The following is a 26,506-nucleotide window of genomic DNA, read 5'->3' as shown; positions in this document are numbered from 1 at the left end:
ACCGACATTTTGCAGCTCTGGGAGTTAAGCAGCTCATGTTTTCAGAGCCTTGTGACCAATCCAGTAGAGTGAGGGGGCCAGTGATCTCTGGTGATTAGACCTAGTTGACATTTGGGGACTATAAGATCCTGAATGCAGAGTACTCATTCTAGCCATAGTCACAAAATCCCCTTAATTAAAATTTCATTTTCAACTTAGGTTTTAAACTCTCTTGCTCAGTAAGGTTCATCTATTTAAAACACAGCAGCCCAGAAGAATGAACTTAAAACAGCCATGGAGTTGCTTTGAATTATGTGCTGTGTGAAAGATGCCTAGTATCAGATTTAACAAAGTTTTACTGCCTTGGCTTTAATGCTATTATTAAGAATAATTTGTGTATGTTTGTACAGGCTTACTCCCCAAAGTTCATATTGTTTTCTTCCCAGGAACTCAAAAGCAGCTCACACGCAGTCTTTGACATCCCTTTCTCCCCTCTGTAGCTCCCTTTGTTCAGTGAGGTGAAGAAAAAGGCCTTGTTACATTACAGTGGAGATGTTTAAGCTTCTGGGAGACAGGGCATCTTCCAGAATCTGGTGAAAGCTGTGAGTCATCTCCACTTCCACCATCCTTCCATCCCCAAATCACACGAGCACATACACACAAAAAGTTCCATGCCACTTCAACTGTTCTGGAGCTCCCTAAGCAAATCCACAGAGGTCTCTAATGCTAGGTTAAACTCCGGGTTATTTTAATACATCGTGCTGGAACAACTGCAAAAACAAAAATACAATGGGAGGTTGAGGCTGCGGTGAGCTGTGATTGCACCACTGCACTCCAGCCTGGGCAATAAAGCCATACTCTGTCTCAAAAATAATAACAATAATACATTAAGAAAAAGAATTGAACCTTGATGCTTACCACACACCATATCTAAACATTAACTTAAAATGGATCATAGGCCTACAACTAAGTGCTAAAACTACAAAAACCCTAGAAGAAAATCTTTGTGACTATGGGTCAGACAGAGTCTTCTTAGATATGACACAGAAAACATGACTTAGAAAAGAGAAAAGCGATAAATTGGACTTCATCAAAATGAAAGGCTTTTAGTCTTTGGAAAACATTGTTAAGAAAATAAGACAAGCTACACATTGGGAGAAAACATGTGTAACACATCCATCTCTGTCCATGTTTGCTCACATTTCAATGTTAACTCTTAGCTTTATAATAAAATGGAAAGGATACCTTTTAACGGGGCATCACACTAACTGAAATAAAATTGGGTTCTGTGACCAAGGCAGAGAAGAGGAACGCACACTGGGTAAGCAACCAAGAGTGTGCTACATGTACAATATAAAATTATAAAAGAAAATAGAATCTCAGCAGGTGGTAGGTAACCAAGCAGGTCCCACAAGTCTGATCCTGTCTGCTGCAAGGTAGTAAGGGCAGAACATCATCTCTGCCCTGGATTCCCATCTGTGCCTAACACAAAGGAGGCCAGGGGAGAGAGCTCATGTGCTGATCTGGAATGCACAGACTACAGAGAAAAGGGCAGAAGAGGAGAGACCACCACGGGTGGAGCTGTCCACAAGGTGTGTGGAGGACATGGTCCTGAACTTGGCCTTCAATGCAAGGGATGTCAGGAAGCCAGAGGAAGGAGAGCAGGCCTTGGACTAGAGCATGGAAACAGGTGTTGGGTGCTACCTTCAAGGACCAAGAAGGCAACATGCCCTACCACAGCAGGAGGGGCATGCTGAGAACAGGAGCTGAAATTTCTCTGAGCCAGGTCAAAGCAGAGGCCGAAAGTGCCAGCCAGGGAATTTGGAGCTTGATGACAAAGTGGACTGGCTCTCCTAGAACCATGGGGTGACTTGATGAAAGTTGATTCATTCAGATCTGCTGCTTCTCCTCCAAACAGGACCCTGGTGATGGACTTTCTCCACACCCACCTTCAGGGAAGATGCACTCATTCATTTCAGCAGAGGAACGTCCCTCTTGCTGCACCAGTCACAGGCATTGGTCATGGAGCACCAGGGCTCTCTACTGCGGAACCTCATGCAGCCTCGCAGGCTTTCTCAGCACAGCACCCAAAAAACATTACCAAGTAGTCAGAACAGGCATTTGGGACACACCCAGCATGGTGGGGGCTGACAAACCCTACCCTTGTTCCCCCAACCCCACCCCCGCCTCCAGGGCCTCCCACTGAACATCTACCCCACCTCCATCGCCACCATCATTTCTCTTCTGCTGTGTGTGTTCTTCAGGCAGCAGCTGTTTTTCCTGTCACTGCATAATATTCATTTAAGCCTGATTTCACCTGGGAAAAATGCTGGAAATAAGCCAGACTCCAGAGTGATGTGGTCATGACCAGATCCCTCCAAGATGACCTGGAAAGCTGAGTCCACCTGAGCTCACAGGACGGCTGGAGCTGGGCCAGAATGGAGAGGCCGCTGGTGGGCCATGCCCCAGTGACCCCAGCCCGAGGGGTGGCAGCCAAGCTGGCGAGGAAGAGACAGAGGAGGACCATGTCAGAAACTCACAAGGACAAGTGAGGGGTCCTGGTGAAAGCATAATGAGTTTAATAACCAGGGACAGCCCTGATCATCCACCATCCAATGGTGTCCCCACCTGATGACTGGCAACCCATTCTATGGGTGGGTTTAAGGGTGGGAGGCTCTTTCATCCTGGAGCCTCTTCAGGTCTCCCAGAGCTGCAGTCGCCTCAGCAAGCAAAGCAGAAGAAAAGAGGCCACTGTGTTTATGGCTGGGGTAGCCGCTCTCATGTGAAAATCAGGGGGTGAAACAAGGTGCTTTTGAAACCTGTTCAAGGCCTCCTTCCCTCCCAGCAAATCATCAGAGGAGAGATTTTGCCTCACGCTTTTCTCTCATGCATGTGTCTGTCCCAGAGTCGCCATGGCAACACTGTGTATGTTTGCACGGCTGGAAGGATCCAGAGATGGAAAACGAGGCCAGGGTGGACCAGAGCAGGGAGTCCAGCAGGAATTCCTCTCTGATCCTCTGCAGGCGATCAGTTAACAGAAAGCTCCCTTGCCCTTCTGAGGTTAGTCATAGAGCCTGCTTCTGCCAACAGCTCACAGGAAAAAATCACAATCCTCAGCAGTGAGTCCTGGGAATGTGCATCAAAGCCTGTTTTCCCCCCAGCAGTTTTATCAGGTAGGGATTTGCCATGACAATTCCCCAGGCCCTGAAGCCCAAGGTGCCAGCACACACATGGCAAGGCAGCCAGTGCCCGGTCACAGGGTGGGTCCGGGAACCACCCCTCACTCGGTGGGAGACAGCAGGTATGTCAGGAAGTGCTCTGCCACGTCTCACCTGTTTCCCTCACGCCTGACACTTCTCTATGCCGCGTGGACTTGGAGAACCAAGCTCTGAAAATCTGTATGAGACCCTTTTTCTAGATGAGACATGCACCTCATGCTGATTCTCCCTCAGAAGACAGCCCCAGTGGGTGTTCTCTGTAATTCCTCAACAGACACAGCCAGCCTTTTAACCACTTCTTTGTCTCTGAATCACCTCCCAACCTTTTCTCAAATTGTGGGAGCCATAAACTGGATGACAGGGAGGATTCAGCCCAGCATGGAGCTCAAGGTGGGGCCAAGAACCGTATAAATGAAACTGATTTTTTGGCAAATCACGTGAACATATGCATATTGACCAGTATTTAAGCCAGTGTCTGACACATATTAGGTGCCCAAAAATATTTATTAAACAAATAAGTAAAGTTCCCATAGATAGCAGAGACATGGAAAGTGGTTCCCACCTAGAAGTTTGGTGAGTTTACTTTCATGGGGTACAGAAAGACTGTTAAATAGGAAGGGATGCTAGTCTAATTGCACTTCAAACCCATCCCTCCTCACTCCACAGCTCTGCCCCTTATATAAACCAATTCTCACAAAAACGTCAGGAGCAGGGAGTTCAATATTTACTTGGCCATGATGCACTTGGTAGATCTCAGTTGGCTGGTAGAGTGTATTTTTCCCACTCTGAGGGCCAAAGATTTTGGCAGATGGCAAATGGAGGTGAAGGGGAGACAGAGTAAGTTATATAAAATACCACTAACTCTCTTCTCCTGTAGGCAGTAAAAACAGCTTCCTAGATTATTAGCACTGAGCCAAAATAAAAATCCACTGAAATATATTTTACAGGATGGAGATACTGTTCTAAAAAGGACGTGAGCACTTTCCTGAATTTATATGCTGCTTTGTTGCTGATCAGTTCTGCAGCAATCCCAGAACTAAGGTCCTTCAGTCATTCAATGAACATCTGTCATCTACAGCGGTCATTCTCAACCAGGGCTATCTTGTTCCTTAAGGGGACATTGATAATATCTGAAGACATTTTTGAGTGTTGCAACTGGGGGAAGGGTGCTAGTGGCATCTTGGGGAGACCAGCTTCTAAACAACTTACAAGGCGCAGAACAGACCCAACCAAAAAGCATCATCTGCCCCAAAATGTTGGGAAAACCTAGAGAGTGACAGAAACACACAGTAGCACAAAGCGAGGCATCTGAGTCCCGGAGCCTCAGAGAAGGCTTATCAGATGGAGTGATGAGTGCACTGAGACATGAAGAAGAATGAGCAGGAAACATAATTAGGAAAGAGGTTCTCGAGCAGAAGGACCTACATAAGCCAAACATGGAGATGAACATTTAAAGAACTGCAAATAGAGCAGACATTCTCTCAACTACCCTTCCCTTATATTAACTCATTTTCAAAAAAGGCCGGTACAGTGGCTCACACATGTAATCCCAGCACTTGGGAGGCCGACACGGGTGGATCACTTGAGGTCGGCAGTTTGAGACCAGCCTGGTCAACATGGTGAAACCCCATCTCTACTAAAAATACAAAAAATTAGCCAGGTGTGGTGGTGGGCACCTGTAATCCCAGCTACTCCGGAGGCTGAGGCAGGAGAATCTCTTGTACCTGAGAGGTGGGGGTTGCAGTGAGCCAAGATTGCTCCACTGCACTCCAGCCTGGGCAACAGAGCAAGACTCTGTCTTAAAAAAAAAAAAAATACTGACGAGTGCACACACAGCACAGGAGCGTGCGAGGCCGGTGAGCCTGTGTACTTCCACTCCAGCGGATGAGTTATATGCTTAGCAAGGGTCAGCTGTATTTGTTCCCAAAACTGTTTATGCCAGACTTAATGTTATTTTAATTATAGGACTTAAGCAGGTATTATATAAACTCATGAAACATGATTACAAAAGAAAGTTGCTATTTTTATCCTAGGTAGAATGCTTTGAAGAGACTTCATGAGTCTAAGTCCTAAAAAGAAAATGCTATCAAACTAGATATGGAAAAAACAACTCTAATAGTTTTGGGGGGAAACGTTTTTAAAATGTAGAAGAATTATGTACTTACATTGCTTCATAAGTGTTCTTAAGTCTTGATTCATTTGTAATTAGAAACCATAAATAATCAATTATTGGTGTGGTTTATGCAAAAAAGATGATTCCAAACACCAATCAAGTTACATTCTAAGAAGAAGTCTTGGCCCTGTTTCAAGACATTGCTGAGTAAATATGGATTTCTGTGTTTTGAGTTGAAATAAAATACATATCACATGTATATGTCATTTTTGTATGATTCCCTGTTTTACCCAAGTTTGTTTTTGATCCATTTTTATTTTACTGTGGCAAAATATACATAACATGACTTTTACCATTTTAACAATTCTTTATTTTATTGTATTGTATTTTTTGAGACGGAGTCTGGCTCTGTCACCCAGGCTGGAGTGCAGTGGTGCGATCTCGGCTCACTGCAACCTCAGCCTCCCGGGCTCAAGTGATTCTCCTGCCTCAGCCTCCGGAGTAGCCGGGATTACAGACACGCACCACCACACCTGGCTAACTTTTGTATTTTTAGTAGAGACGGGGTTTCCCCACGTTGATCAGGCTGGTCTCGAGCTCCTGACCTCAGGGGATCCACCCACCTTGGCCTCCCAAAGTGCTGAGATTATAGGTGTGAGCCATCGCACCCAACCAAATTTTATTTTTTTAGTTTTAGATTCAGGTGTGTTATGTGGATAGATTGTGTGAGGCCGAGGTTTGGGAGCACAGTGCACAGCAGGTAGTTTTTCAACTCCTGCCCCTCTCCCTCCCTTCTTTTGGACTCCCCGGTGTCTATTGTTCCCGTCTTGATTTCCACTGTACCTAATGCTTAGTGCTCCCTTAAAAGTGAGAACAGGTGGTATGTGGTTTTTTTACTTGACATTTCTTTATTAATCTTTTCAGGTAGGACAGCTTCTGCCATATCTGCAGCTTCTGCCATATCTGCAGCTTCTGCCACATCTGGGTCCGACTGGTGCACAAAGCACGCAGAGGACATGACAGTGGATGAGGAATGAGAGATGACCTGGGGTCAGACTATGAAGGGTCTTTTAAGCCATGATGTGTTTGGACCTTGGTAAGTAATAGGAACCACTAAAACTTTTTTTTTTTGAGATGGAGTCTTGCTCTGTCACCCAAGCTAGAGTGCAGTGGCGTGATCTCAACTCACTGCAGCCTCCACCCCCTGGGGAACCATTAAAATGTTTTAAACAAGGGAGTGACTTGACCACATGGCATGTTTTAAAAAGCTATCTCCACGGCTCCAGTATGCTGACTGCAGACCAGAAGTCCAACTAGGAGGGTCCTGAAGCAATTTGGGGTGCCTGTGATTATTGAATAAAGGAACAGCATTGGGGATTCAGAGACAAGAATAGACTCAAGGGACATTTAGAAATTACTATCCATAGAACCTGGTTATTGATTGGACATCACATATAAAGGAGAAGCTAGAGTCAAAAACCACACTTAAGTTTGTAGCTTGGATACCTGAGTTTTTGGTGGTGATTCCTCTAAGATAGAAGACAAAATGGAGGAATTCAGCCTGGGTGGAAAGATGCTGAACTCAATTTTGGACATATTGAGCCTCACAATCTTGTGAGACATTCACATAAAGGTGTTGAGTGTCTGGTTGGATTCATGTGTGTGATGCTCAGAAGAACATCTTGGGCTGAATACTTAGATTTGTGAGTAATCAATACACAGAAAGAAATTCAAGCCATTACAATAAATAAAATGGCCTGCCTGAGATACAGAATGAAACGTTGGCCTAAGAGAAGATATCTAAAAGATTGTCATGAATCAATAAGAAAATGACAATAAACCCAATAAAATGTGCAAAATACATTTTTAAAATATTTCACACAAGAAGAAAACCATAAAAAAAAGCATGAAAAGATTCTTCACTGCCCTACTAGTCAAGGGTACGCAATTGCATTTCCACAATGAGATAGTTTTTATGCCACTAGATTGACAAAAATTAATATCTGACAATGTCAAATAAGGATTTGAAAAGGTTTATACTTTACTGGTGAGATTGTATAATTGCTTTGGAAAACATTTCAGCATTATCTTGTGAAGCATACCACATAATTCTACTCCTAGGTATCCACCCTAGAGAAACTCTTGAATATGTGCACCAGGAGACATATTCAAAAGTGACTTCAGGACCTTTGTTCATAATAGTACAATACTAAAGGCAACCTAAAGAGTCAACAGCAGAGAATGGATAAGGGGCAATGTATCCATGAAAAGTATCATAATAAAGCAGTAGAAAAAAATGAATTGCACACATGTGTGAGAACATTAAGGAATCTTAGAAACATGATGTTGAATGGAAAAGGAAAGAACCCAGAAGACTTTGATTTATTCAGTTGGTGCGAACGTAATTGCAAAAACCTCATTACGTTTGCATCAACCTAATAGATATTATTTTAATAAACCTAAAAATAAGCAAAACTGGGCAAAATATTATTTACATATGCATGCATTTGGGATAAAACAAAACAAAAAATCAAAAGAATAATTCTAAAATTCAGGATAGTGGTTCTCTCTGTGCGGAAAAGAAAAGCAGGACACAGAAGGAGGTTAGGAGCAGAAGTGAGGGTGGATACGAGTTACTGGGAATGGACTTGTCCTTTGCTTGACTGCTGGGTTCAGAAATGTTCATCATACTATATTTTGTAACTTACACATATTATAAATAGTCTCAAATAGCATACTAAAATTAATACAAAAAATGAAAAAAATCGCACTTAGAGTTACAATTTTTTTCATCCTAATTAAGACAGACTTCTGGATTTAAGGACTGCATGAGTTTACTCTTTTGTTAAAATTGCTTTTACCAAAATTTTAGGACTTTAACTTCCTCCCTAGGTGGAAATATATGGCCCAACCACAGGACACACCAAGGACCATGGAGTGTGCATTTTGGGGTAATAAATTACCCTTGGCTTCCTTTTACTCACTGTATTTCCCATCACTCTGACTCATTCAATTATTTATTTCCACTCATTTGTATTGTGTGCATTTGTATAAGCCACCTCAGATTCTTTGTAGAATGAGGTGCAAGTATTCAAAATTAAAACATTCTACCCCATGAGGGTAGAAAAAAAACCTCAAAATTCTGTCATACTTTTTCCCATTTATGGCAGGAAATGCAGAAAAGTGGCCAATTCCTTTCCTCCAGATGGCAGGCTGCGGCTAAAAGTCTAACAGCACTCCCTGACAGCCTGGAGGTGGCCAGAAAAGCCACACACAGGCTGCAAGAGAGGATGTGTGGCCCACCAAGCCCTGGCACTCTGGATTCTCAGCCAGAGTCTTAATTAAATCAGATACCATTTTGAGAAGGCTTCCAGAGGCCTTGCACCATGAGCTGGCCTGAGCTCCTGAGCTCATGCCCTCTACAGTCCCGCAGCCCTCCAGACCAGGGAGACAAGGGATCTCCTACGGCTGGCACCCTCCTTCATTACCCACAGATGCCCAGTTGTGCCTGTCCCACAGAATAATAATAGGCCACTCTATCCAAAGTTGCCATATCCAATGAGATACAACCCAATTGCCAGGGAAGCTGCTCCTGCCTGCATTGTACCTAATTTGTTGGCCACAGGAAGGGTTTTCTGCATCCCAGAGAAGGTCAGGATCATTAGTTTCTGACTCTATATCAGTGTAGTAAAACTTAAAGAAGTCATAGTTCCAGTCCTGATTTAGCTTGGCTGGATCCCCACCCACCCAGTCCAAGGGGACTCCAGAAAATAAACTAGGCATTTATACCCACTGTTGAGGAAGAATCTGCTTCAAGCCACAAGGTGAGGGCTGGAGAAGCTTCCATTAGCCATTATTCGCCAGCCATGGTATCCCTAATCACACAGATGGCTATGACCCATAAGTCTCTTTAATAACACTGTCCACTGTTTCCCATGAGATGTCTACCATCAGATTGCCTATAAGAATAGTTTCAGATGAAGAAGGAGGAGGAAGAAGAGAAAGAGAAAGAAAAAGAGGAAAAGGAAGAGGAGGAGGAGGAGGGGGAGGAAAAGGAAGACGAGGAGGGACAGGAAGAGGAGGAAGAACTACATATCCTCACATGATGTGTATGGCTGTGAGATTGACGCATTCCACAAGCTCTGCACCTACACCAATATATTAAAATCACACTGGAGCGGGGACCTCCGCAGATCCTCCTTCTCCCTGTATAAGCCCCAGTGAACTTCGTAATTTTTTTTAAGTTGGAGGGACAAAAGAAGTTGCCTCTTCCAGGCATATTCAGATCTCAAGATAGTCATCATTCTTTACCACCACCTCTTCCTACAATCTCTTGAACCAGCTCTGTGCAGGATGAGCCTTTATGAAATTCATGCTCAGAGGCACCCACAACTTTGTCTCTAGAAAAATGATGAGTGGAGGATGGGCTTCTAAATGTGCTCAACTCATTTTGAATGCACAAGAAAGCCATTTGGCCCATGTGACATCTCAGCTATCTTCCAGAACTTACTGAATGGCAACTTTGAAGAGCCCCTGTCCTGAGGGCTTGGGATCTAATTGGATGATATCCCTACCTGACGCCATAGGTGGAAAAAAAACCTGTTTTGAGACGGACTTAACCAGCAAACACAGTGTGTGCTGTGGACCAAATCAAAAATCCTCCTATGTAAGCAATGAGGTAGAGTTCTTGCATCTTGTCTTGTCGATTTGATAGCCTAAGCATTAGAGGATGGGCTATTAGAATCTACTCAAAGGGCTGGGGGAGGTGGCTCACGCCTGTAATCCCAGCACTTTGGGAGGCCGAGACGGGATCACTTGAGCTCAGGAGTTAGAGACCAGCCTGGCCAACATGGCAAAACCCCATCTCTACTCAAAATACAAAAATTAGCTGGGCATGTTGGCACGCACCTATAATCCCAGCTACTCAGGAGGCTGACGCAGAAGAATGGCTTGAACCCGGGAGACAGAGGCTGCAGTGAGCCGAGATCACGCCACTGCACTCCAGCCTGGGTGACGGAGTGAGATTCCGTCTCAAAAAAAAAAAAAAAAAAAAAATCTACAGGGAAAGAAATGCTGGACCCCTGCAAAATCCCATCAAACCATAGCATATGGTTTATTGAGAGAACAGTGGCCAGAAACAGAACAGACTCTGCTTTCTACTTGAGAAGTAGAAACTCAGAGCCAAGCAAGGCCTTCTTTTGGGTAAGTCCAGGGAGAGCACAGCCTCCTCCACTCAGGAAAAGGGGTACAAAGTGAAGGAAAGGGCATGTTCATATAGGGCCACCTTTCATAGTTGCCCCTACTCTCGTCTCCATAAAGAGCTGCAAACCTCTGCACTCATTGACCAAGGGAGCTCCTCTAAGTTTTTCCTCTCACCTTTGCTCCTACTGATGTAGAACAATTGCAATTTCTAAGTCCAATAGTAGAAAGGCAATAGCATCTTTGAAAAATGTTGAGAAATGCAGTTTCCTCCCACGGGCACACACATTCAGCTCCTTCCTCTCTGCCTGAGGCTTTCTCATGGGCAGGCTACCTGGCTTTCTCACTTGGCTTCTCTCCAAGACACCCCCTCTCAGATCACATAGAGAGGTTTCCATGCCTGACCCTGACTGCTGACAAAACACCCAAGACCCCTGCTCTTCTAGCTGATTAATAAAGTTAAGAAATAACATGAAAAGGTAAGCATTTTTATCATTATTATCCTGAGTAGAGAACCCTGCTTAACCATTCCCTGACGTCTGATTGATTTCTGGTCTCAGTTTTAAATTGCATTTGCAGAATACAAATTGCATTGAGGTTGGCATCGCTAAAGATTATTTCATGGAACACTAGTCTGAGAAAATGCCTCTAAAAACAGAGAGAGCCCATGGTTAGAATATGTATATTTTCTTGCATAATACGTGCTTCCCCTAGGTTTTCTCATGATTATTTATATTCAAACTTCTCATCGAGCCAGTTTTACTAGATTTCACCTTTTTTTAATAACACCTATGAGCAGAAGAATTGTGGAGAATACACTTTGGACAATGCTGTTCTAACCATATCTTGGAATGGAGATTGCAGGTAGGAAAGTTCAAGTCCCCATTTATTTTAGAAAATGATTTATATACATATCAATGATCTTTAAAAGCAGGGTTTACTTTTTAGACTTCTGTATACATTGCAATTGCATTGTTAAAACACAACCTAGCAGGCAAATATTCTTTAGGCTCTATCCCATAGAACATCCTTTCAACTTATCCTTGGAGGACTTTTACAAGATCCTTCCTCAACTTAGGGGAAGAGGATGGCCAAATGATTTTTTTTAATTTATTTTTATTATACTTTAAGTTCTAGGGTAACTGGACACAACGTGCAGGTTTGTTACATAGGTATACATGTGCCATGTTGGTTTGCTGCACACATCAACTAGTCATTTACATTAGGTATTTCTCCTAATGCTGTCCCTCCCCCTGCCCCGCACCCCGCGACCGGCCCTGATGTGTGAATGAATATCTGTTACTCCTTTCTTTCATTTTTTCCTTCCAGTAGTTAAATTTTTTTTTCACTTCACAAACGACTATAAATTTAAGCTATAATGAGATATCATTAGATAGCCATGACTGTGTCATATGATACCCGTATGTTTCAATTTTTTCTTTTTTTTTAATTATACTTTAAGTTTCAGGGTACCTGCGCACAACGTGCAGGTTTGTTACATATGTATACATGTGCCATGCTGGTGTGCTGCACCCATTAACTCGTCATTTAACATTAGGTATATCTCCTAATGCTATCCCTCCCCCCTTCCCCCACCCCACAACAGGCCCCGGTGTGTGATGTTCCCCTTCCTGTGTCCATGTGATCTCATTGTTCAATTCCCGCCTATGAGTGAGAACATGCGGTGTTTGGTTTTTTGTCCCCGAGACGGAATGTCGCTTGTTGCCCAGGCTGGAGTGCAATGGCGCGATCCTGGCTCACTGCAACCTCTCTGCGTCCTGGGTTCAAGCGATTCTCCTACCTCAGCCTCCCGAGTAGCTGGGATTACAGGCACATGCCACCACACCCGGCTAATTTTTGTATTTTTAGTAGAGACGGGGTCTCACCATGTTGGCCAGGCTGGTCTCAAACTGCTGATCTCAGGTGATCCAACCGCCTCGGCCTCCCAAAGTGCTGGGATTACAGGCATGAGCCACCGCGCCTGGCCATGTTTCACTTTTGAAGAAACTGCCAAACTGTTTCCAAAGGGGCTGCATATTTTACATTTTCACCAATACTGTGTGGGAAATAGTTCCTCCACATCCTTATATACACTGGGTAGGGGTCAGAGATTTTAAAGTCAGACATTCTAATAGGGTTATAGTTGTATCTCGTTATGGTTTTAATTTGTATTTTCATTTCTCTAATAAAAATGATGTCAAACATCTTTTCATATGTTTATTTGCCATCTGTGTATCTCTTTGGTAAAACATCTGTTCAAATCTTTTGCCCATTTTTCAATTGGATTGTCTGTTTCCTTATTATAGAGATTTTATATTTAGGATACAAATCTTTTGTGTAATTTGCAAGTATTTTTTCCCTGATGGTGGCATTCTTAATTTTGATGAAGTCCAACTTAATGATTTTTATTTCCTGGATCATGCTTTTGATGTTGTATCTAAAAAATCTGTGCCTAACCTAAGTTTGTAAAGATCTGTCTCCTAACTTTTTTCCTAGATGTTTTATGGTGTTGGGCTTTATGCTTGGTTCTAGGATCAATTTGATCCATTTTGAGTTAATTTTGCATGTGGTACAAGGTACGGATCAAAGTTCTTTCTTTATTTTTTTTTTAATATGTGTGTCCCATTGTTCCAGCACCATTTGTTTAAAGACCATCCATTCTTCACTGGATGGACTGGCTTTGCATCATTGTTCAAAAGCAATTGACAACTTCCAACTTCCACTTGTAAAGAGCTTGCCATCACTTCCAGCCTCACAAGGAAAATACTGAACAAACTGAAAATCAACAACTCTTCTTTGATCAATCAGAGAAAGGTCACAGGCCATGCTACTACCCCAAAAACTGAGAGAAAGGTAGATGCACAGAATGAGAGCTTACAGGAGCAGAAGCCCCAGCTGTGGTAGGAACACCTAAACAATAATTGACTCATTGCTGGAGACCAAGCTATGGACTAAAAAGTCCTAGCAGCCCATTCTTAGGGGAGCCCCACACTTTCATAAGTTTTACGTCCAGGAGCCCCACCCAGATCTCAGAGTGAAAATTAGAGAAAATCTCCTCTTGTTTCCAGCAAGGGGAGAGGAGCAATCATTTTGAAATATGTTCAGGGTGATCTCTTCCCCTTAACAAAGGCCTGCCCCCAAAGGAACCTCTTCTACTGGGGCATAACTGGGGGTTTTATCAGATCCTGATGGGCCTGTGGGAAGGGATGTCCCCAACACCAGCTCCCTGTGGCTGTCTATGTGGGGTAAGGGAAATAGCTCCAGCCTCCTCTAGCCTTCTTGTTTCTCCAAACGGGAAAGGGAAAGTTGAGAAGCACCCCTGAATGTCACACCTCAGCAGCACAGACTCTCAATGACTGACATCCAGTCACAGGATAATAGAAAGTTTCCCTTCCCCCCAACATATTACCACCATATCAGTAGGGCTCCTGCACACCATCGTTTATCACAGCTTCATTTCTAATTGCCAGAAACAGGAAGATGCCCTTCAGTAGGCGGACGGATAAACAAACCATGGCACATCTATTCGCACTAAAAAGAAATGAGCTGTCAAGCTAGGAAAAGACATGGATGAAACCTTAAATGTATATTTCTAAGGGAAAGCATCCATTCTAAGAGGGCTATCTGTTGTATGACTCCAATTATATAACATTCTGGGAAAAGCAAAACTGTAAAGGCGGTAAAAAATAAATAAATAAATAAGTAATTGCCAGGGGAGGGGAGGTTTTCAGGGGGAGGGAGAGTGAGATGAATAGGTGGGACACAAGGGATGTTTAGGGTAGTGAAAGTATTCTGTAAGATATTGTAACTGTGGATACATAATATTATTTATTTGTCAAAATCCATAGAACATACAACACTAAGAGTGAAGCCTAGTATAAACTATGGGCTTCAGTAAATAATAATGTATCAGTGTAGGTTCACCAGAGGTAGCAAATGAACCACACTGAGGCAAGATGTTAATAACAGGGGAAACTGGTAGGGTGGTGAGCGGAAAGTAGTACAGAGGTTTATGGGAACTCTGCACTATCTGCTCAATGTTTCTGTAAGCCTAAAAATTCTCTTTAAAAAAAGATATATTAATAAATAAAATCTAGGCCAGGTGCTGTGGCTCATGCCTGTAATCCCAGCACTTTGAGAGGCCAAGGCTGGCAGATCACCTGTGGTCAGGAATTTGAGACCAGCCTGGCCAACATGGTGAAACTCTTTCTCTACTAAAAATACAAAAAGTAGATGGGTGTGGTGGTGCACACCTGTAATCCCAGCTACTAGGGAGGCTGGGGCAGGAGAATCTCTTGAACCTGAGAGGCAAAGGTTGCAGTGAGCCAAGATCACGCCATTGCACCCCAGCCTGGGCGACAGAGTGAGACTCAATCTCAAAAAATAATAATAATAAAATAAAATTTAGAAATCAACTGACTGCATATGCTATGTATGTGTGGATCTATTTCTAGACTCTATTACATTCCTTTAGCCTATTTGTCCCCCTTGAGTTCAATGCTACGTTTTAACTTTATAATAATCTTTAATGTGTCTTCAAGGCTTATTTCAAAGTTGTTCTTCTTCAAAGTTGTTTTGACTATTCTAGGTCCTTTATATTACCAGATGAATTCTTAAATCAGCTTGAAATTTTCTATACAAAAGCCTGCTGGAATTTTGATTGGGTTGCATTGAATTTATAGACCAATATAGGGAGAATTAACATCTTAACAATGCTGACTCTCCCAACCTATAAACAAGATACATGGCACATTTGAGTATTCTTTAATTTTCTCTCAGCATTGCCTTGTGTTTTCAGAGTACATGTCTTGCACATCATTTGCCGTATTTATCCCAAAATATTTTGTATTTTGATTTTATTGTAAATGGTGTTTTTATTTTAATTTTGATTGTCTATTGCTACAACATAAAAATATAGTTTATTTTCAAACCTATTTTGTGCTTTGCAGGATATAAGGCTAATAAATAATAAGAATTTGTTTGTTTGTTTGTTTATTTGTTTTTTAAGGGAGACAGGGTCTTGCTCTGTCACCCAGTCTGGAGTCCAGTGGTGAGATCATAGCTCAGTGTAGCCTTGAACCCCCGTGCTTAAGCAATCCTCCTGCCTCAGACTCACGAGTTGCTGGGCCTACAGCCACACACCACCACCAACCCCAGCTAATTTATTTTTTATTTTTGTAGAGACAGGGTCTCGCTATGTTGAGCAGGCTGGTCTCAAACTCCTGGCCTCAAGAGATCCTCCTACCTTAGCATCCCGAAGTGTTAGGATTACAGATGTGAGCCACCACACCTGGCCTCTGTAGTGTTCTTCGTGAGACTTTTAGCTACAAATTCCATTTTTAAAATAGATACAGGGCTATTCAAGTTATTTTTCTTGAGTGAGCTTTGGATATTTATGTTTTTCAAGGAATTTATCCATGTCATCTGAGTTGTTAATTCATTGACATAAAGTTGTTCATAATATTGTCTACTATCTTTGTAATACATATAGGATCTGGTGTGGTGTCATCTCTCTCATTCCTGATACTATAACATTCTCTCTCTCTCTCTCTCTCTCTCTCTCTCTCTCTCTCTCTCTCTGTCTCTTCCAGTCAGTCTGGCTAGACTTTATCAACTTTATTGATTACTTTAAACAGCTTTTGGTTTCATTGTTTATCTCTATAGTTTTCTGTTTTCTATTTCATTGACTTCCACTTTGATCTTTATTATTTCCCTTCAGGTTTAATTTCTTCTTCTTTTTCTAGTTTCTTTTTTTTCTTTTCCGCAGACAGAGTTTCGCTCTATGGCCCAGGCTGGAGTGCAATGGTGCAATCTCGACTCACTGCAGCCTCCACCTCCCAGGTTCAAGCAATTCTCCTGCCTCAGCCTCCCGAGTAACTGGGACTACAGGCACATGCCACCATGCCCGGCTAATTTTTTGTATCTTTAGTAGAGACGGGGTTTCACCATGTTAGCCAGGATGGTCTCGATCTCCTGACCTCGTGATCCGCCCGTCTTGGCCTCCCAAAGTGCTGGGATTACAGGCATGAGCCACCATGCCCAGCCTCTAGTTTCTTAACGTAGAAGTTGGGGTCATTGATTAAAAACTTTTCTTCTTTCCAATAATATGGGTGTTATTGCCATAAATGTCCTTAAAAGTATTGATTTAGATGCATCCCACAAGGTTTGATAATTTGTTTTTACTTTTATTTAGTTTAAAATACTCTTTGATTTTTCTTTTGATATCTTTTTTTTTAACCCGTTGGTTACTTAGAAGCATATTAGTTAGTTTCCAAATATTTGGGAATTTTCCAGAAATCTTTCTGTTATTGATTTCCAATTTGATTTGATTGCAGCCCTAGAAAATACTTTGCATGAACTGAATCCTTTTAAATAAATTGACATTTGTTTTATGGTCCCAAACATGGTATATCTCAGTAAATCTTCTATGTGCATTTGAGGTGTACACCGCCATTGTTAGATGGAGTGTTCTATAAGTGTAAATTTTAAGGCCAAGTTGGTTAATAGTATTTTTCAAGTCTTCTTTACAGCTGTTTTTCAAGTCTTCTTTACGGCTATCTACTTGTTCTGTCAACTATTAACAGTTGGGGGTGTAAAAATAGCTGACTATTATTTTTGGATTTGTATATTTCTCCTAGTTTCATGTACTGTATATTTCTTCTACCTTCAGTTTTTGCTTGATGTATTTTGAATCTCTGTTATTAGGTACATACACATTTATAGATTTCTGATGTCCTCTTGAACTGGCCCTTTTATTGTCATAAAACAATCCTCCTTATCCTAGGTAGTATTTTTTTTCTTTGAAATATACATTAATCTGATAGTAATATAGTACTCCAGCTTTCTTTTGATTAGTGTTAGCATATATTTTCCATCCTTCAGTTTTAATGTTTGTATTTTTATATTTAAAATGAGTTTCTTCTAGGAAGCATAAAGTTGTACCTTATTTTTTATACAATCTGTTATTCTCTGCCTTTGAGTTACAGGGTTTAGGCCATTTATATTTAAGGTGATTGTGTGGTTAGATTTAAATTTATTTGTTTTCTATGTGTCCCAGTTTTTTCTGCCTTCCTTTAGACTGTTTATTTTTTTGATCCTATTTAATCTCTTTTTTTTTCCTTTTTTTTTTTTTTTGAGATGGAGTCTCACTGTATTGCCCAGGCTGGAGTGCAGTGGCAAGATCTCGGCTCACTTCAAGCTCCACCTCCCGGGTTCATGCCATTCTCCTGCCTCAGCCTCCCAAGTAGCTGGGACTACAGGTGCCCACCACCACACCTGGCTAATTTTTTGTATTTTTAGTAGAGACAGGGTTTCACTGTGTTAGCCAGGATGGTCTCAATCTCCTGACCTCGTGATCCACCCACCTTGGCTTCCCAAAGTGCTGGGATTACAGGCGTGAGCAACCATGCCCAGTCTCTTTTTTTTTTCTTTTTAAAAAATAATCCTTCATCATGCTTAGAAATTGTTTGGAGTTTATAATACACATTTTAACTTATCATAGTCTACCTTCAAGTGATATTAGATAACTTCAAGTGTAGTGTGAAAACTTTGCAACATTATTCTTCTATTTCTCCCATCTCATTTTTGTGCTGTGGTTGTTATATATTTTCTACACGTTATATACGTCCTACATGTCATTAACCCCAAAGTAGTGTTCTTGTTTTTCACTTAAATGGTTTACTGTGTTTGAATATAACTAAACTTTTTTAAATAGTCTTTATATTTAACCATATATTTACCATTTCCTGTGATACTCATTCTGTTGTGAAGATTGAGGTTTTTAATCTAGTAACACTTTTCCTCTGCCTGAAGGGCTTCCTTTAACATTTCTTATAATTCTGGTCTGTTGGTGATGATTTACTTCAGCTTTTATATATTTGAAAAGGTTTGTATTTTTCCATAACTGCTAAAAGATATTTTTGCTACGTAAAGAATTCTAGGGGGGCTTTTTTTTCCTTTCAGTACTTTAAAGAGGCTTTTCAACTGTCTTCTGACTTGCATTGTTTCCAGAGAGAAATCTGTCATCCTTACCCTGTTCCTCTGTATGTAATATGTCTTTCTCCAGTGGTTACTTTTAAAATTTTTCTCTTCATAATTGGTTTTAAAAAATTTAAACACTTTAACATTTAACCATTTTTATGTGGTTTTCTTTGTGTTACTTGTGCTTAGGATTTGTTGAACTTCTTAGGCCTGTGGCTTTGCAGTTTTAATCAGATTTGGGGAAAAATTGAGCAATTTTTAAGTTTGATTCTAGAATGTGGCTAGGTTACTCAAAAACAGTTGGTCTTTTCAGGACTTGCTTTAAACTTCGTTAGCTGGGACCAGAGCTGCATTTAGCCTAGGGATAATTTTTCCCACTATTGAGGTAAGACACTTCTTAGAATTGTAGCTGATGCCCCTTAAATCGGGTTTTCAACTGTGGCTTTTGGAAACAGACTGTCTGTAACATTCGGTTACTGTTTCCTCTAATCCTCTCAAGGTGATTCTTTCCCCAGCCTTGGATAATTTCTCACATGCATGGCCTGATTCACGCTCAACGGAGTACTTGACAGGAATCTCCTGAATATCTCTGGAATTCTCTCTGCCTGGATCTCTCATTTATGGTGGTTGTTCTGTGGAAATTCTAGCTGCCTTGGCTTCCCTGGACTCCTAATTTTGTCTTCCCAACTCAAGGAAACATCTGATTCTTACCTGCACTGTGACCTGAATATTTTTTGCAGGTTGCAAGCTGGAGTAATCACAGGGCTCCCCTCCTACTTTTCCTTTGTCACTTGATGGTCAATGTCCTGAGTGTCATTGTTTCATACATTTTGTCCAGTGCTGTAGTTGGGTCAAGTGTGAGGGTAAATCCAATCCCCATTACTCCATCTTGACTGGAAGTGGAAGACGCTTAGTTACTTTTTATATCTCAACTCTTTAAGGAACCTTCTCCCTTTCTTGCCAGATCATGTCTGATGTCCCCAGCTGTGCACATCATGGAACCCTGTATTTTTTCCTCTGGGTTAATTATAACAACGGTAAGTAAATAATTTGTACAAATTGTTGAAGTGAGACAAATTTGCAGTCTTCCTCCTCCCATTTGAGGGAAACTAAAAACAACATAATTTAATCAGAACTGTAATTATTTCCCAAATTATAAATAGAATAACCATTAAAAACTGAAGTTACTGTGGTGTGATTCTTCCAGGCTTGATCAGAACAGGAAAGAGCCTGGGGCCCTTTCACCCACTAATGAGGTCCTATCATTCCCAAGGGACTAAGCCAGAAAGGCCTGCTAATACAGAAATATTATTTTTCCATCATGGGATTTAACTATCTGGACACTAAGAAAAGCTTATGTTTATCTTAGAGTGATATCTTTAGCTAACATACCACTTAAGTCGGGAACCAGCAGGTCACAATTTCACTGGTAGGTACAGGATCTACTTACACACTCACTCATGGGCTGTGTAGCCTGAGAAACTTAGAGTCAGTGAACATCTGTGCTCATCTAGTTAATGCTAATTGAGACTGAAGATTGAAAGGAAGAACCTAGAGCCTCAGCCAGTGGAGGAAATGTATTTTTCCAGAGAAAACATTTGAGAGGTGGCAGATTGAGAGGCTTAAAGAAGAAATACACATGAATATAAAAGTGAACCTGACAGCCAGGTCGGAGAAGGATGTCTTCCTTGTGAAGGCCCAAGATAAAGTCTCTTTCCTTTGTGTAATAAAATAGGAAGTTCTAAGTACAGTTTCAGGCTTTGTCCTTTTGAGTTGGAATGTTTCCTTCTGAGATCACCACAACTCTTCCATAAGGAACGTCACGTATGTACCACAACCCATTGTGTTGCGTGGGGAAAGGAGTGCTCCTCTGTATTCCTTTCTTGGATCCAGTGGAGAAGTGGGCTGCAGCTCCATAGGCAGGTTTGGATGCTGGGCCATTCACGGCTGTCAACAATAGAGAGGCTTATGACCCTGTAGGCCCCGGAGAAGATATTGCAGAGACATACTCCAAATCTCTTAATTGCCTTATAGTTTATGGAATACTACCATTTGAAGGAAAAGAAGTGGTTGCAACAACACCTGAACTACCTTTTTTAATATTTTCCCCCAAATAGACTATGTGTTCTGATATGGCAAAGACTGCCTGTCTTATTTGTAATGATATCCCCAGCTGTTATTTCAGTGTCTGGTATGTTAGAGGAACTTAGAAAATATGGGATGGATGCATGAATCTAAGTGTTAACCAGAAAATTCTCATACCCTCTAACAAATTTGGACAATGAACACAACAGGGACAGAACATGAAACCCAGGTCTAGCTTTCTAGTTCTAGACCATTTACTCTCCTTGTTAGCTGGGCTTTAGGAAGCAGAATTGGAAGATGAAAAGATGATCCTTCATGCAACTTAGGGACTCTTCCCAGCACATTTTGCTGCATTTCTCTGCCAAACCCTAAAGCCCCAAGACTCCTCTTAGCTCAGTAACACCTGTGCATTTCCTTAAATCCATTTCCAGAGTTGATAAATATACAAGGCAGAACAGAGTGGTGCAGCTCAAGGAAGTAAGCATGAGGATAATGGGTCCCTGTGCCCTGGAAATCTGGCACCAGTGGACTGTGTTAATTAGGTGCAAAGAAGCCATCTGGTCAATTTAGTTTTAATCTCATCAAGTTTTTTGAAAAACATTTGCCAGTGATGGGGCGTGAAGGGAAAATTTAAAAATAGTATAATTAGATGTGATGCCAGGAAGTCCTTGTCACGTGCCATCCAAGAGCAAAGAAGGAAAATGAAGAAGAAATTGCAAATACAATTAAATAAATACACCAAAATAAATGATAACAAAGCCAAGCAGACCTTGGCCTCAGTCCCTGCATTCTTCTAGGCAGTTCACTGCACTCTGTGTGCCGAGTTGCTTGGCAGGCTTTGCTTAGCTGGGCTGGGTTCAGCAGTGCTCAGGAATGTGAGTGGGAAGAGGTCGCCAGGCACCATTGCCCTGGCAGAGTGTCACTGAGTGTCACTGAGAGGGTGGAAGGGGTGGGACTGATATAAACCAGGCAGTGTCCTGCTGTCTGTGCACCCTGTACTGTGCTAGGTGTACCTGACCACCAAGACACAGTTACTCTCCACCTCTCTCCCCCGGGAGGAAAAAAGCTGCAGGGAGCATCTCTAAAGCTGAGCTTGTCTACCTGAATTATTCCATACCTAATGACCACTATTCAGCAAGTGCCTTGCATTCTCTAATCCCTGAAAACGTATGCAAAAAAAAAAAAAAAGTTTTACGTAGATGCCAGATTCTTGCATTTAATGGGGCAGCACCAGGAAGTACTAGAGATCCTTAACTTCAAGAGCAGGGGTCACTTTAAGATCTGCTGCCAGGCCAGGTCCAAATTCACAGCATCAAATCTTCAAAGACGGAACCAAGAGGGATCCCCTCTATTGCTCTACCCAGAAATACATTCAGAACCAAAGCTACCGAGTCAATGGCAAGTTACCAGTTTCTCTCTACTTCTTCTGTTCTGCAGCTGAGGCATTATCTATAGAACGTGTTTCTACAGCACAATAGTGCCAGCCTTAGAGTCCAAAGGCATGGGTCTGTGTCTAGATCCATGACTAGCTGAATCCACTGGCAGGTCACTGAAAGTCTATGAGCTTCAATTTGTTCATATATAAAACAAGATATATTTTCTCACCATTCTAAATGATAAACTGGCAAACATCTGTATGTTAGGTGTTATTATTGTTAAAGCTCTTGGAAACATACTGGAAGTACTCAAAGAAAGTATGTAGCAACTGCTGTGCCCTGGCTCAGTGTCAGGAGCATGAGTTCTGTTGCCTCATTCTGGGTGATTTGCTTCACTTCTCTGAGCTTCTATTGCTTCATCTGTAAAATGAGAGGGTGGGACTAGATTTCATACCAGTCTAGGCTTATCTGAGGCCCCTTACAACACCAGCTTCCCAGTGTACATAAAAGCTCATCTTGGGAAGACTGACTTACAACCCCAAAGACTGTATGCCCATAGCTCAGAATCTCCACATCTAGATGGGGGTTGGCAAACTACAAACTGCTGGGCCAAAGCCAATCCAACTGCCAGTGTTTGTGAATAAAGTTTTATTGAAACACAGCCATGCTCATTCATTTACTGCTGCCTACAGCTGCCCTCATGCTACGACAGCAGTGTAGTAGTTCGGTTAGTAACCACATGAAAGCCAGGCCTAAAATATTTACTGTCTTTCCCTTTATAGAAAGTTCACCATCCCTTGTTGTAGATGGTTGCTGGGTGATTTCAGCAAAAATATCAAACCACGTCTTACTTTCTTTTTTAAAAAAGTACGAAACATGGATAATCTGAGATACGTTGATGCTTTCTTTGGACAATCTAAGACACTGCTTAGGTGCATTAACATCACATAATAATAACAACAATAAACCTACTCAATCAACAGGTCTATTATTGGGAGGGAAGGGACATTTATACCTTTGGCATTGTTTTTACCAGACAGAAAACTTAATTAGACAAGGGTTTTATTCATAAGAAATAAGGCCTATGTTACATTCATAAGGATAAGGGGAATACAAACTTCTCTTAAAAACTAGATGAGCAGGCCGGGGGCGGTGGCTCATGCCTGTAATCCCAGCACTGTGGGAGGCCAAGGCGGGCAGATCACGAGGTCAGGAGATCGAGAGCATCCTGGCTAACACGGTGAAACCTTGTCTCTATTAAAAATTAATCAGGTGTGGTGGCGTGGTGGCGGGCACCTGTAGTCCCAGCTATGCAGGAGGCTGAGGCAGGAGAATCGCGTGAACCTGGGAGGCGGAGCTTGCAGGGAGCAGAGATCACGCCACTGCACTCCAGCCTGGGCGACAGAGGGAGACTCCGTCTCAAAAAAAAAAAAAAAAAAAAAAAACTAGATGAGCAGAGGGCAGAATGAGTATGGGAGAAATTAATCTTTATTCTTATAGACAAATCAACTCTACCCTGGAGTGGAAGTTCTTCATCATTTTCTAGCTCATCTCATCCTCGTTCATGGGGAAATCAGAGTCTATCTTCCTGTCACTCCCACTATCCTCTCCTCCCCAAAACCCAGCAAAAACCGCTGAACCCAGAGCTTAACGGAAAGAAGGAAAAACAGTGAATTCTTGCAAGGTCTGAGGCTCTAGAATGTGCAAGGCCCAACAATGAGCGAGAGAACTAATCCATTATCCCATTATCCTATAGAGGGGCAATGAGTCCCAGCGAAATGCTGAGTGCCACCCCCTCGATCACCAGCCCCCTCCCCAACCCCCCGCCAACACAGGGACTTTGGCACAAAGAGTCTGAAACAAGAAAGTAATGGGAAGTGACAGAAAGATAGGAAACAAAGGCACAGCCATCCAGGTGGGGCACTCTCTGAGCGTTTAGTGGTCGGCCTTCTCCCAAGTAGTGAAATCAACCAAGTAGCTAAATCAACATGGGATGGTGTGTGTGTGTGTGTGTGTGTGCGCACACATGCACCTCTGCAGTTCCTATGCCCAAGGGAGGGTGTTACCCTCCATACCAGTTATTGCTGTATAACAAGCCAGCCCAGTGATTTATCAGCTCACAAATCTATACATAATTAAGTTGGGTTGAGCTGAGCAGTTCTTCTCCTAGTCTCTCCTGAATCATTCATGCAGCTCTAGTCAGCTGGAGGATCAGCTGGGGGCTGGCTGGTCTAAGATGGCATCATCTGCCCTCCTGGCAGTTGGTGCTAGCTGCTGCCTACGCTTTATGCCTCTAGCTGCTCTGTGGGGGAGGAAGGGTCTGCAGCAGCAAGAGAAGGCAAGTCCCAATGCACAAGCACCTGGCAAGCCTCATGTCCCATCACATTTGCTAACATCACGTTCACCAAAACTAGCTCCCTGGCCAAGCCCAGTTTGAAGGAGTGAAGTAAGCCTCCACTTCATGGTGGCAGAAACAGCAAACTTGCCGTGCACAGGACATGCACACGGGGATGGGAGGAATCTGTGGTCATATTTAACAATCTATCACGCCATCCTAATTCTGAGTCCACAGAGGATGAAGTTGAGATTGGAACATGTCATGTATCTGCATGTTGTTAAGCTGTGAAGCATCAGAGGAAGGACTCTGGTCTTTGGAGTGAGTCAGAGAAACTTGGGATCAAAGCCTAGCTTCACTGCTTGCTTACTGTGACACCAAACATACCACTTAATCTGAGTCCATTTCCTCATTGGTAAAATGGTGGTGGTGTTATCTACTGCCCAGAGTGGAGTGCCTGACACAGTACCTGCCACAGAGGTCATCGAGGGTCTCAACTTCCACCCGCAGTTATCTGTGGCTCCGCGGATGAGTATGTTTCATGGTCAGCAACTCTAATGGGGCGAGAGTGCAGGGGCTTGGCTTTTCTGAGCAAGGAGTTTAGTGTCTGATAAATAGCAACACACTCATCTCCTATGTGCAGCTTCTCACATCAAAACCCACATGCCATGTGGAACTGTTTGGGCTCGGAGGGCCTGAATGCCTGAGGGCCCTCTAGACTTCAGTCTCTGAGAGGCCCCAACTCACACCACCCAGGAAGGAGAGAAGTGGGGCAATCGGGCGAGGGGCATTAACCTCTTAAACGCTGACTTTCTCCATTGTCCAGTCTTACAGATTGGGCCGTCAAGAAACTGTGTCCACACAGAAAGGGGTTTGGCAGAGGGAGAGGCCTGATCTTGTCTAGATTCTATTAAGGGGCTTGCACACAGACATTCAGCTTTGGAGCTAACCACAAGAAGGGCACTTGGAGGGCTCATGCCGGGCAACGGTGAATTTGCCAGAAAACTGGAAGTCACAGAGCACTAGCATTTGAGAAAGAAGGGTTCAGAGATACACAGCTGTGGCTCCCAAGCACAGAAAAGAACCTAAGCAGGGTCGGCCGTGGCTTGTGGCAGCCAGCAGTGAGAATCCTAAGAATACTCCACAGCCAGCATGTAAATGTGCTTGCTGGCAAGAGGCACACTCATCATTAAAGTGCTTTGGGGACATTAGAAGATATGTTTATGTAAGGCTCTGAGTGGTTCTTGGATGCAACACCAGGGCCTTAAAATGGCATGTCTGTGACAGGGGTTGTGTGCTTGTTGCATCAACAACCAAGATCTGGAGACGTTAGGCACAACAGTTTCTTAGTAAGTACACCAGAGGTGCAGTCTCAAAAATTTTAGGCATTTGAATGGAAAAAACCCAGTTGCCCAAATTGCTGAAGTGGTTGGGTTGACTGATTTATTTAGGTTTCCCAGTTTTACCCCTAGAAGCTCCCACAGCTCAAGAAATCCCTCAGCCCATGCAAACCAGGATGTTGGTCACCCTAAAGGCCGATAGCTCCTAGTTACCAGCAGTCAACCATCCAAGAGCTAATTTAATCCTGGACACTCAATGAGTTGCTTTAAGGATCTTGTGGCAGCAATAAATTAAACAATGAAAGAAAGACCACCTTGTGCTGTGTCTAGATTGGGCCTCACCTGGCATATTAGCCCCCCAGAGCAAATAGTGTGTGTGTGTGTGTGTGTCTGTGTGTCTTTGTGTGTGCACATGCATGCGTGCACTCACAGCAGCGTTGGGGGGATTTATTTTAAGGAATGGACTCACAGGACAGTGGAGACTGGCAAGTCCTAAAGCTACAGGATGGGCTGGCATTCTGGAGACTGAGGAAAAGTCGATGTTGCAGTCTTGTTTCTGAAGGTCGTCTGGAGGCTGAGATTCCTCTTCCTTGGGGATGTCAGTGTGTTTGCTCTTAAGGCTTTCACAGGATTGGATGAGGTCCACCCATATTTTCATGTGATCTACTCAGTCTAGTGATTTAAATGTTAATCTCATCTGAGAAATATCTTCACAGCAACATTCAGATGTGCTTGACAAAATAGCTGAGTATGGTGGTCTAGCCACATTGACACAGAAAAATTAACCATCACACTTGGGCAAAAGCTAGTCAAGCCAAGAAATATATGCAGTGCTGTGCCTGGTAGCAACTTGGATTCTGGTGGAAGAGCCTAGGAAGGAG

At 42.6% G+C, this 26,506-nt stretch overlaps 1 long non-coding RNA gene and 1 other non-coding gene across 2 annotated transcripts in view; both read right to left on the bottom strand.

Annotated features, from left to right (window-relative positions):
* The window catches only part of LINC02873 (long intergenic non-protein coding RNA 2873), a 44,397-nt gene extending 41,868 nt beyond the window's left edge, over positions 1-2,529 (bottom strand). The window contains exon 1 of the long non-coding RNA NR_164144.1: positions 2,297-2,529. This is a non-coding gene — a long non-coding RNA (long intergenic non-protein coding RNA 2873). The remainder of the gene's footprint in view (positions 1-2,296) is intronic.
* A 6,152-nt stretch (positions 2,530-8,681) lies between these two features.
* MIR8052 (microRNA 8052) lies at positions 8,682-8,750 on the bottom strand. Its single transcript, NR_107019.1, has one exon. It is a non-coding gene; the product is annotated as a microRNA 8052 (primary transcript).
* Positions 8,751-26,506: the final 17,756 nt, after the last annotated feature.

Source organism: Homo sapiens, chromosome 11, assembly GCF_000001405.40.
Source record: "Homo sapiens chromosome 11, GRCh38.p14 Primary Assembly".
Classification (NCBI taxonomy): domain Eukaryota; kingdom Metazoa; phylum Chordata; class Mammalia; order Primates; family Hominidae; genus Homo; species Homo sapiens.
The sequence above is the reverse complement of the archived record's forward strand: the minus strand, read 5'-3'. Positions and strand labels throughout refer to the sequence as shown.